Source organism: Homo sapiens, chromosome 15 (genome assembly GCF_000001405.40).
Source record: "Homo sapiens chromosome 15, GRCh38.p14 Primary Assembly".
Lineage (NCBI taxonomy): Eukaryota > Metazoa > Chordata > Mammalia > Primates > Hominidae > Homo > Homo sapiens.
The window spans coordinates 55,956,166-55,968,801 of NC_000015.10; the positions used below are offsets into that span (position 1 = coordinate 55,956,166).

At 37.1% G+C, this 12,636-nt stretch overlaps 1 protein-coding gene across 3 annotated transcripts in view, besides 1 other annotated feature; it reads right to left on the reverse strand.

Annotated features, from left to right (window-relative positions):
- NEDD4 (NEDD4 E3 ubiquitin protein ligase) overlaps nt 1–12,636 on the reverse strand; it is a 166,696-nt gene that overhangs the window by 129,249 nt on the left and 24,811 nt on the right. For all 3 annotated transcript variants that reach the window (NM_006154.4, NM_001329212.2, XM_011521625.4), the window contains one exon: nt 10,308–10,381. In NM_006154.4, coding sequence (NP_006145.2) covers nt 10,308–10,381 — 74 coding nt within the window. The remainder of the gene's footprint in view (nt 1–10,307; nt 10,382–12,636) is intronic.
- Nucleotides 1,705–1,882: a silencer, noted in NCBI's record as "fragment chr15:56250068-56250245 (GRCh37/hg19 assembly coordinates)". NCBI's record gives its function as "represses an EF-1alpha promoter that drives an FKBP-Casp9 reporter gene in an ReSE screen in phorbol 12-myristate 13-acetate-treated (for megakaryocytic differentiation) K562 erythroleukemia cells {active_cell/tissue: K562(+PMA)}" and the evidence as "EXISTENCE:reporter gene assay evidence [ECO:0000049][PMID:32094911]".

Below are 12,636 nucleotides of genomic sequence, written 5' to 3' on the forward strand. Positions count from 1 at the left end.
GTATTTATGGGGTACATGAGATTACCCATTCATTTGACAATGGACATTTAGGTTGTTTCCAGATATATGTCTAAAGATACTTTTTCCCAATCTATGGCTTGCATTTTCCGTAACCTTGTTTCTTAAAGAAGAAAAGTTTTAATTGTGTTGAAGTTCCTTTCAACATTTTTCTTTTATGGCTCATCCTTTTTGGTACTGTTCACGTAAACTTTGTGTAACCCAATAGAGCAAAGATTTTTTTCCTATGTGTTCCTATAGAAGTTTTATCATTTTAGCTCATACTAATTTTCTGTATGATGTGTGGTAAGGACCAAGATTCATTTCATTCTATACAGACCAGTTGTTCTAGTACTGTGTACTGAAAGACTACCCTTTCCCTTGAATTACCTCAGCATTTTTTGTTAAACAGGAGCTGATCATATATATGTGTATATATTCTCTCTCTCGCTCTCTCACACACACATGCGCATGTATTTTTACACTCTCCATTCCACTGAACAATATATCTATTCTCATGCCACTGCCACTCTGTCTTATTATAACTGTGTAGCAAGTCTTGAAATGGGGTAATGTAAGTCTTCCAATTTTGTTCTTTTTTGAAATTGTTTTGGCTATTCTATGTGCCTTGACTTTCCATACAAATATTGAAATCAGCTTATCAATTTCTCTGAAAAAACTTGCTGAGATTTTTATTGGGATTGTGCCAAATCTAATCAATTTGGAGAAAAATGCCACCCTAACACTATTGAGTCTTCTAATGAAAACAGCATATGTATCCATTGATTTATGTTGTCTTCGACTTCTCTCAGCACTGTTTTATAGTTTTCAGTGTCCATTTATTACAAATCTTTTGTTGTATTTATTTCTAAATATTTAACTTTTATACAATTGTAAACACGTTTTTAAATTGTATTTTCCAATGGCCCAATGATAGGATACAGAAATATAACTGATTTTGGGTTATACAAACACTGACTTTGCATTTTGTGGTGGTGTTAAATTCATTTATTAGTTCTTCCAGTAGTTTTTTCTGTAGATTCCTTGGGGCTTTCTACGTACAAACCATGTTGTCTGCAAATAAAGACAGTTTTACTTCTTCCTTTTTGACTGTGTGATTTTTTTTTCTTTGCCATACTACATGGCTAAAATATATAGTACAATGTTGGATAGAACATGAAAGCAGACAACTTTGCCTTATTCCTGAGTTAAGTAGAGGGGCTTCAAACTGCCACCATTAAGTAGGTGGTTAGCTACTGGGTTTTTTCATAGATACCCCTGATGAGGTTTAGGACATTTCCATCTATTCCTAGTTTGCAGAGAGTGTCTATTATGAATGGGTGTTGAATTTTGTCAGTTGTGTTTTCTGCTTTTATTAAGATGACTGTCTTCTCAGTGTGGCGATTCCTCAAGGATCTAGAACTAGAAATACCATTTGACCCAGCGATCCCATTACTGGGTATATACCCAAAGGATTATAAATCATGCTGCTATAAAGACACATGCACATGTATGTTTATTACGGCACTATTCACAATAGCAAAGACTTGGAACCAACCCAAATGTCCATCAATGATAGACTGGATTAAGAAAATGTGGCACATATATACCATGGAATACTATGCAGCCATAAAAAAGGATGAGTTCATGTCCTTTGCAGGGACATGGGTGAAGCTGGAAACCATCATTCTAAGCAAACTATCACACGGACAGAAAACCAAACACCGCATGTTCTCACTCATAGGTGGGAACTGAACAATAACACCTGGACACAGGGTGGGGAACATCACACACCAGGGCCTGTCGTGGAGTGGGGGAAGGGGTGAGGGATAGCATTAGGAGATATACCTAATGTAAACGATGAGTTGATGGGTGCAGCACACCAACATGGCATATGTATACATGTGTAACAAACCTGCACATTGTGCACATGTACCCTAGAACTTAACGTATAATAAAAAAAAGATGACTGTCTTCTTTTATTCTATTAATACAGTGTATTACATCAGTTAATTTTCAGATGTTAAGCCACCTTTGTATTTTATGTTAGTTTGCTGAGAGGTTTTATCATGACTGGGTGTTACATTTTGTCAAAGGCACATTCCATGCCAAGTGAAATGACCATGTGTTTTTTCTACTTTACTGTATTAATACAGTGAATTGCATTAATTAATTTTTTTAATGTTGAACAAACCTTGCATTTGTAGGAAAAATCCTAAGTGGTGATATATTGCTACATAATGTTTAATTTCATTTTTGCATCTATGTTGACAGATATTGGTTTTAAGTTTTCTTGTGATGTCTGTGTCTGGTTTGGGGATCAAGATAATATTAGCCTAATAAAATGAGTTGGGAAATGCCCTCCATTTTCTGAACGTGTTTGTGTAGAATTTTTATTTTTTTTTCCCTAAATGTCTGATAGCTGCATCCAGTGATATCATGTGGGCCTGGAGTTTTCTTTGTGGGAAGGACAAATTCAATTTAATTAACAACAAATTCAATTTCTTTTAACAACAAATTCAATTTCTTTCAATAATAAACATCTATTAAAGTTTTGTATTTGTTCTGTGGCTAGTTCTGAAATCTGTGTCTTTCAAGAATATTATCTACTTCACTAAATTGTGTGTACTTCTTTACTGATACAAAATTGTACAAAATGTTTTCTTTTTATCTTTTTCATTTCCACAGGGTCTATAGCAATGCCCCAGTTTTCATTCTCATTACCAGTAATTAGTGCCTTCTCTCTAACTCTTGATCATTCTAGCTAGAGGTTTAAAACTTTAATTGATGTCTTCAAATAACAAGCTTTTGATTACAATAATTTTTTTTCTACCATTGTCCACTTTCTCTTTCACTGATTTTGGCCCTTGTCTTTATTATTTCTTCCCTCTACTTATTTTAGAATTCATTCGCTCTTCTTTTTCTAATTTATTAAGGTCAGAACTCAAAACATTCATTTATATCTTGCTCCTTTTCTAAGTTAAGCATTTTAAAGACATAAACTTCCCTCTGAATATAACTTTAGCTGCATTCCACAATTGTGATATTGCTGTATTTTCATTTTCATTCAGTTCAAAATGTTTTCTTCTTTGACATATAGATTATTTAGAAGTATACTAATTAAATTCCAAATATCTGCAGTTTTTCTAGATCTTAATATTATTGGTTTCCAATTGAATTCCACTGTTCTCAAAGAACATCCTCTATATGATTTCAATCTTTTGAAAACCTCTGAAACTTGTCCTATGGACCCACACATGGTCTATCTTGATTAACGTACCATGTGCATTTCAAAAGAATGTGGTTTATTGTTTCAAGGCCCGGAATATTGTGGCATCCAGACACTAGGGCAGCTCCTATTATCCCCACCTCCTAATATTCATGTTCTTTGTGTTCCTCTCCTCTTAAGCATGGGACAGATCTATATATTCTAACCAACAGATTATGGCAAATGTGACAAAAAGTATGTGATTACATTACATAAGATTGTAATCCATCTTGCTAGGAGACTCTTGCTAGCTTTGAAGAAGCAAACTGGCAGCTTGTGAGCTGCTGAATGGCAAGAAGCTGAGACGGCCTCCAGCTGACAGCTAGTAAGAAATGGAAACGCTCAGACTGGCAGCATGCAAGGAACTGAATGCCACCAGCAACCACATTAGCTTGGAAGTGAATCCTTCCCTAAGCAAGCCTCAGCTAAGACCACAGCCCTACCAATACCTTAATGACAGCTGAAGTGAATTCCTATAATTTTATGTTGCCTCAGCATCCATAATGAATGTTAAGTTGGACATTTTTATACCAGAAGCAGGTCTTAGTCACCCTTAGCACAGTTTCCAGTTCTCTACCTCCTCTCAGCTCCTCAATGTGGTCAATCCAGATAACTACCTTACACAACTGCCTCCTGGTAACCATCTCCCTAAGAAACAACCAGATTCAACCTACTTGACTTGCTCCACTGACCCCATACCCCCAAAGGACTGCAGAAATAAGCCACAGTAACCACCTCTCTGTGATGGGTAATATTGAGTGTCAACTTCATTAGACTGAAGGATGCAAAGTATTGTTCCTAGGTGTGTCTGTGAGGGTGTTGCCAAAGGAGATTAACATTTGAATCAGTGGACTGGGAGAGGCAGACACACCCTCAATCTGGGTGGGCACCATCTAATCAGCTGCCAGGGCAGCTAGAATAAAGCAGGCAGAACGTGGAAGGACTTGACTTGCTGAGTCTTCTGGCCTTCATCTTTCTCTCGTGCTGGATGCTTCCTGCCCTCGAACATCAGACTCCAAGTTCTTCAGCTTTTGGACTCTTGGACTTACACCAGTGATATGCTAGGGGCTCTTGTACCTTCAGCCACAGACTGAAGGCTGCATTGTTGGCTTTCCTATTTTTGAGGTTTTGGGACTCTGACTGGCTTCCTTGCTCCGCAGCTTGCAGATGGCCAATAGTGGGACATCACTTTGTGATCATGTGAGTCAATTCTCCTACTAAATTCCCCTTCATATATATATCTATCCTATTAGTTCTGTCCCCCTAGAGAACCCTAATACTGATTTCTCAGACACAGCATGACTCCATGAAATTTATGCCTACTTGCTCTAAACCCACCAATTACAACTCCCTGAGGGAAACCTGCTTGGAAAATGCCCTGGACCCCAGTAAAAGCCTCAGCCCACAGGTCACTTGTACTCTTTGCCCTGTTCCCCACCCACTAGTTGACTGTGCATGTCCTAGATGGCTCCCCACTTCCTGTTGGCCCTGGGAGGCATGCTGCCCTCTTCTCTCTGGCATCTGTAAGTAATAAACTGCTGTTATTTCTTGTGTTTTGTTGAGTTGCCTCCCGTGTCTCACCTGACTGATACACTCGACCCTAACTTGTTTGTCAGGATTCTCCTAGAGAGTGGCTATCTGCTATTTTGGTAGGAACAAACTGGACACAGACAAGAGCTATAAGAGCATCTGCCAGGATATGCAAGTTTGCTGTGAGAGGGACATCTGGTCATAGGTCAGACACTTAGGCATGAGGGCACTTGCCTAAGAATACCCATGAAAGGCACACTGTAAACATCTATGTCCAAATTCCTAGAGTCTCATCAGGGCAGGGCTAGAGTTTACAGCCACTCTCATGTGAGAGACTTCAAGACTGCAAAATTAGAAAAAATTAGAAAAAAAGTAGAAAAAAAAATACAACAGCAGCTTTCCAAGACCCTGTAGCAGAGGACCCAGTTAAACAATGCAGGAACTTCTGAACCACAGAAACTGTGAGACAATAAATGTACGTTCTTTTAAGCAACTAAGTTTGTGGTATTATTATTATTATTATTATTTGAGACGCAGTCTCACTCTGTCACCCAGGCTGGAGTGCAGTGGCCCCATCTTGGCTCACTGCAACCTCCGCCTCCCGGGTTCATATCATTCTCCTGCCTCAGCCTCCCGAGCAGCTGGGACTACAGGAGCCCACCACCACACCCGGATAATTTTTTGTATTTTTAGTAGAGACAGGTTTCAAAGTGTTAGCCAGGATGGTCTCAATCTCCTGACCTTGTGATCCGCCCGCCTCAGCCTCCCAAAGTGCTGGGATTACAGATGTGAGCCACCGCGCCTGGCCAGTTTGTGGTAATATTATTATGAAGCAATAAACTAATACAGCCCATGTGTGGTCTATGCTAGTGAATGTACCATGTACACTTGAAAAGAATGTACATTTGAAAAGAAAGTTGTTAGAAATAGTGTTCTTTAGGTCAAAGTTATTCATAATATTGTTTAAATTTATGTTTTTGATTTTTTTATTTAGTTGTTTTATCAACTGCTGAAAGAGAAGTGTTAATGCCTCCAACTATGACGGTGGGAGTTTTAAAAAGTTCCCCTTTAATTCCGTCAAATTTTGATTCATATTTTTCTAAGTTCTTTTAGCAGGCACACACACATTTATGATTGTTATATATTCCTGATTGACTTTATTCTTTATCATCATGAAATGTTTGAAAATTTTTGTGTTGAAATCTATTTTACCAGATACGAATATATCCACTTCAGTCTTTTTATGCTTACTGTTTGCATGGCATATCTTTTTGCGTCCGCTTTCTTTCAAATTAGCTATGTCTTTATATTTTAAGTGCATCACGTAGGACAGTATATAGTTGGGTCTTGTTTTTTAATTTATCCTAACAACATCTGTCTCATATTTATTTTAATCCATTAATGTTCCTTGTAATTATTGATATGATTGGATTTAGTCTACAGGTTTATTGTTTGTTTTCCATTGTCACTGCCCTTTACGTTGTTTTTTTGTTTGTTTTTGAGATGGAGTTTCACTCTTGTCATGCAGGCTGAAGTGCAGTGGCATAATCTTGGCTCACTGCAACCTCCATCTCCCAGGTTCAAGCAATTCTCCTGCCTCAGCCTCCTGAGTAGCTGGGATTACAGATGCCTGCCACCACACACAGCTAATTTTTGTATTTTTAGTAGAGATGGGGTTTCACCATGTTGCCCAGGCTACTCTCGAACTCCTGACCTCAGGTGATCCACCCGCCTTAGCCTCCCAAAGTGTCGGGATTACAAGGGTGAGCCACCGCACCCAGCCTCTTTTACTTTTTTTGTTCATTTGTTCCTCCTTTTCCGACTTTTATTTTTTTTATTTTATTTTTTTGATGTTTAGCTCTTTTGCCCAGGCTGGAGTGCAATGGTGTGATCTCAGCTCACTGCAACCTCTGCCTCCTGGGTTCAACTGATTCTCCTGCTTCAGCCTCCTGAGTAGCTGGGATTACAGACACGCGCCACCATACCCAGCTAATTTTGTATATTAGTAGAGATGGGATTTCACCATGTTGGCCAGGCTGGTCTCAAACTCCTGTCCTCAGGTGATCCACCAGCCTCAGCCTCCCTAAGTGCTAGGATTACAGGCGTGAGCTACCACAACCGGCCTCCGTTACTTTTTTAAATCATTTGCTTCTCCTTTTCTGGCACTCTTTTTTATTTTTTTTTTTTTTGAGACAGGGTCTCACTCTGTCGCCTAGGCTGGAGTGCAGTGGCAAAATCATGGCTCATTGGAGCCTTGACCTCCTGGGCTCCAGCGATCCTCCAACCTCAGCCTCCTTTGTAGCTGGGACCACAGATGCATACAACCATACCTGGCTAATTTTTTGACTTTTTCTAGTGACAGGGTCCCACTTTGTTGCCCAGGCTGGTCTTGAACCTCTGGGCTCAAGTTCCTGGCTTTTTTATTTAGTTTTTCAACAACTTCATTTTAAAATTTCTACTGTTTTTTATCTATAATTCTTTGCATTATTTTTTATTGGTTTCTCTGGATATTACAATATACATCATTAATCTTTTATTCAACTTATACTTAGTATTGTACCATTCTACCAAATAGGTCTATAACTTATACCTGCTCCATCCTTTATGTTATAGTTGTTTTATGTATTCCATTCACCAACAATATAAATCCTAAAAAACAATGTTTTAACTTGTGATTTCAACAGGCATATGTTTTATTTTAAAAAGGTATGATGAGAAAAGCAAAACATGTTTTGTATATTCCCAGATATTTACTATTTTTGATACTCTTTATTCCTTTCTAAGGACCTGAGTGTCTATCTGGTTTCAATTTTCTTCAGCTGAAAGGACTTTAAGATATCTTACAGCACAGGTCTGCCAATGATGAATTATCTAGGTGTCTTTTTTTGGAAAATGTTATTTTGTCATCTTCCTTAAAGGATATTTTCACTGAATATAAAACTATGGATTGATGGTTGTTATTTTATTGTTCCATTTTCTCCTGGTCTCCGTAGTTTTGGGTAGGAAGTCAGTAATTAATTGAATTGTAGTTCCCCCATATATAAAGTGTCATATTTTTCTCTTTTTGTCAAGATTTTTCTCTTTATACTTGGCTTTCAACAGTTTGACTATTATGCACTTCATTGTGTTCTTAATGTTTATTATCCTGCTTGGTGTTTTTAAATACTATATAAATTTAATCAAATTTGGAAAAAAACTTGGCCAATATTTCTTCAAAAAATATTGTGCCTTCTTCTTTTCCCTCCCCTTTCTGTGTTAGACTGTAAGATATTATATAATGATATCCATGTTAGACTTTTATATATTAGCTAACAAATCCTCAAGGCTCTGTTGTTGTTGTTGTTGTTGTTTTTCTCCAATCTTTGTCTCTCTCATCTCTCTCATCTTCCAACTGCGTAACAATTTCTACTGATCTATCTTTAAGTTCAGTTAATCTTTCCTCTTCTCCATTTGGCTGACAAATCTACCCAACAATTTTAATTTCAAATGCTGTATTTTTCACTCCTGGAATTTTCATTTTTTTATGGTTTCCATTTCATTTCATATTTTTAAAATTTATTGTGGCCATATTTTCTTTTCTCTACTAAAAATGCCTTCCATTTTCCTGGTTCTTTTTAGATAAGTAATTTTGCATTATATCCTGGACATATATTATAAATGTTAAGTTTTGGAGACTGAATTTTGCTGCTGGTGTGTGTGTGTGTGTGTGTGTGTGTGTGAATTTTGCTGCTGGTGTGTGTGTGTGTGTGTGTGTGTGTGTGTGTGTGTGTCTGCTTATCATTCTATGGTTTGGATATTTGTATCCTTCAAACCGCATGTTGAAATTTGATTTCCAATGTGGGAATATTGAAAGATGGGTCTCGGTTGGAGGTATTAGGGTCATGGGAGCAAATCCCTCCTGAATAGATTAATGCCCTCCCTCGGAAGTGAGTGAGTTCTCATTCTATTTGTTCCTCTCGATTTGTCAAAAAGAGGCTGGCACACCTCCCCCTTGCTTCCACTCTTGCTATGTGATTTCTTTGTGTACGCTAGGTCCCCTTCCCGTTTCTGTCATGACTTGAAGCAGCCTGAGGCCCTCACTAGATGCAAAGGCCCAGTCTTGAACTTTCCACTCACCAAATCAACCTCTTTTCTTTACAAAATACACAGTCTTAGGAATTCTGTTATAGCAACACTAAACATAATAAGACTATCATGCAACTAATCATCCTGTTTGGACAAGAGCCACAAATCCTGTTTTTGGTTGTTTGTTTTTTGAGACACGGTCTCACTTTGTCACCCAGGCTGGAGTGCATTGGCACAATCTTGTCTCACTGCAGCAGCCTCAACCACCCAGACTCAAGCAATCCTCCTGACTCAGTCACCCATGTAGCCAGGAGTACAGGCATGCGCCACCATGCCCAGCTGATTTTTTGTACTTTTTGTAGAGACAGGTTTCACCATATTGCCCAGGCTGGTCTCAAACTCCTGAGCTCAAGCAACCTGTCTGCCTCAGTCTCCCAAACCCCGTTTCTTAGGCAGTGACTGTGATCTCTGTTCAGATCTTTTGTCTTCAGATGAGTTGCTGAGCTCTTCAGCTCTCTCTCTTCCAGAATCCTTACCACTGCCATGTTTTCTTCAGATTCAGAGATTCAGTAAATCAACAATTGGAAATATTATTCTACTTTCCACAACAACTTACTAATACTATTTGGTATGTATGTATGTATGTATGTATGTATGTATGTATGCATGCATGTTTGTATGTATTTTTGTTTTTGAGACAGAGGCTCACTCTGTTGCCCAGGCTAGAGTGCAGTGGCACAATCTTGGCTCGCTGCAACCTCCGCCTCCTGGGTTCAAGCGATTTCTGGATAATTTTTGTATTTTTAGTAGAGACAGGGTTTCACCATGTTGGTCAGGCTGGTCTCAAACTCCTGACCCTCAACTGATCCGCCTGCCTCGGCCTCCCAAATTACTAAGATTACAGGCATGAGCCACCATGCCTGGCCCTATTTGATTTTTAATTGAACCAAAGTTTGGATTCTGCTATGTTCCCAGGCCATGAAGACTACAATTTTTCCAGGTTCTGATTCTACCTGCCCTCAGACCAATTCATAGTATCAGGAACTCACTCAGTACAATTCCCTTCTTCCAAACATGAACTCCCCACCAGAATCTGCCTGCTCTGTTCACTCTCCACTGCCTTCAGGTTGCTGCTTTTTGTATTAAGTCCAGAGTTTATGGTTGTTATCTGCTAAAGGATTAGTCTGTTAGAATTTTGCAAATTTCCAGAAGCAGAGCTCAATAATGTATCTTGTGACTATTGCTATCATTTGTACTTCTGCCTAATTTCACAAATTTAGTAATTCAGATACCAAGAGATTTAGTAAACCACCAACTGGTAATATTATTATTATACTTTCCACAACAATTTACTAATACTATTTGATTTCTAATTTAACCAAAGTTTGGAAAAAACTAATTAACAAATGCAAAGTTTTAAAATTATAATCCAAATAGATATACTTACCTAGCTCCCAATATATCCTTCTTGGCAAGGCCTATTCCGGCTATAACTCTTACTCTCACAATTCGTGAATTTTCCTAAAATACAAAAATTTAGATTTCATTTTCATGTACTTATAAGTTAACTAAGACACAATTTTTTAAAAAATATATATCAAATAAAGTAATTAGGATATTAAAATTAATTGAAGAATCTTTTTCAATAATTAATTTTATTAAAAGTTACACGGGAAAAAAAGAAAATTATTTGTAGATGACCTGATTATTTACAAAGATAAGCAAAAACTTGAGTCAACTTATTACACTGAATAAGAATTTATCGCTGCGCTCAAGAAAATCTAAAGCCAAAGTATTGCAACTAATAGGAATTTCCAATTATTGCTATATATGTACACAAAATCGAAAGTTCATAACCATTTGGCTTTTGGTTTTTTTTTGAGACAGAGTCTCACTCTGTTGCCCAGGCTGGAGTGCAGTGGTGTGATCCTGGCTCACTGTAACCTCTGCCTCCCGGTTCAAGCGATTCTCATGCCTCAACCTCCTGAGTAGCTGAGATTACAGGCATGCGCCACCATGCCCAGATAATTTTTCTATTTTTAGTAGAGACAGGGTTTCACCATTGGCTGGGCTGGTCTCGAACTCCTGACCTCAGGTGATCTGCCTGCCTCAGCCTCCTAAAATGTTGAGATTTACAGGTGTGAGACACTGCACCCAGCCCATAATAATTTGTAATAACTACTTAGAAAAGGTTATTTTTTTAAATCCCATTCAACAGACAACAGAGTATATAATAATGTGTGGCTATTATAATGTATCAAATATTAAATATCTTTGATATGATGGCATAGAGGTTTTATAAAGAGTGTCTTAGATTTAAGAGACACATATTGAAGTGCTTAGGAATAAAGTATCATAAAGCTTGCAACTTATTTTCAAATAACTTAGCAAATAAAAAACTGAACATAACTATGCTGTGTGTGTGTGTGTGTGTGTGTGTGTGTGTGTGTATGTGTGTGTATACAAATAAAGGGGAATAAGCGAAACGTTACCAATTTGTGGATCTAGTTCTTGGGTATACAGGTGTACACTGTACTACTTATATTACTCTTTTAATGGTTCTGTAGGTTTGAAATTGTTCAAAATAAAAAGGTAAGAAAATATTATAAAACATGTATATTTTTTAAAAAATTCACAAGTTACAAAACTATTAGAACAGAAATAAAATTAATAAGAAATATAAAAAAACTTCATAGATAACATTATAAAATATTGCCAGTTATGCCGGCACACACCTATTATCACAGCACTTTGGGTGGCCAACGTGAGAGAATTGCTTGAGCCCAGGAGTTCAAGACCAGCATAGGCAATATAACAAGACCCCATCCCTCCAAAAAATAAGCCAGGCATGATAACTTGTGTCTGTAATCCCAGCTACTAGAGAGGGTGAGGCAGGAGGATTGCCTGAATTTGAGGTAACAGTGAGCTATGAACACCACTGCACTCCAGCCTGGGTGACAGAGCAAGACCTTATTTTAAAAAATTTATAAAATATTGAAGAATGTAAAGAAGCCTTCAATAAATGGAGAAATCCACTATGTTTACGTGTGAAAATATTTAATATTATTATCTTTTTTCTCCAAAGTAATCTATAAATTTAATACTATTCCCATTCTCCCTTCAAATTTTTTCATGGATCTTTACAAATAATTCCAAAATTCATAGAGAGGAGTAAAAATGAGTAAAGAAGTAAACAATAACATTCAATCACTATCTTATACTAAAACATAAAACCAAATTCCAGATAAAGTCTAAAAGTGAAAAGAAATTTTTAAAAGTTCATTTAAAATTTTAGAATAGTTCTTTAGCATGTGGAAAGATTTAAAAAATACAATCTTAATAGCAAAAATTATTAAATTCCACAATAATAAAATTATATACCTTTAGTATGAGAAAAAATATCATGTGCAAAATGAAAAAAACAAGGGGATATTTTAGATACTTCTTCCTGTAGACATATCTAAAATATCTACAGAAGTATCTAAAATATACATCATTGAGACAAATGATAATTATCCAGAATATGTGAATAACTCCTAAAAATCAATATGTAAGATATAATTAACCTAGTACAAGATACCATATAGAATGGCTAAGAAATACATGAAAAGATAATCTCACCGGTCAGCAGAAAGAGTTCTAAATGCACTGTTGGTGGGAGTGTAAATTGATGGATCATTCTAAAGAGATGTTTGACATGCTTACTAAAGTTCTAAAATAAAAACCCAGGAACTGTATTTTTAGATGTTTCCCTAGATAAATGTACATCTATGTAC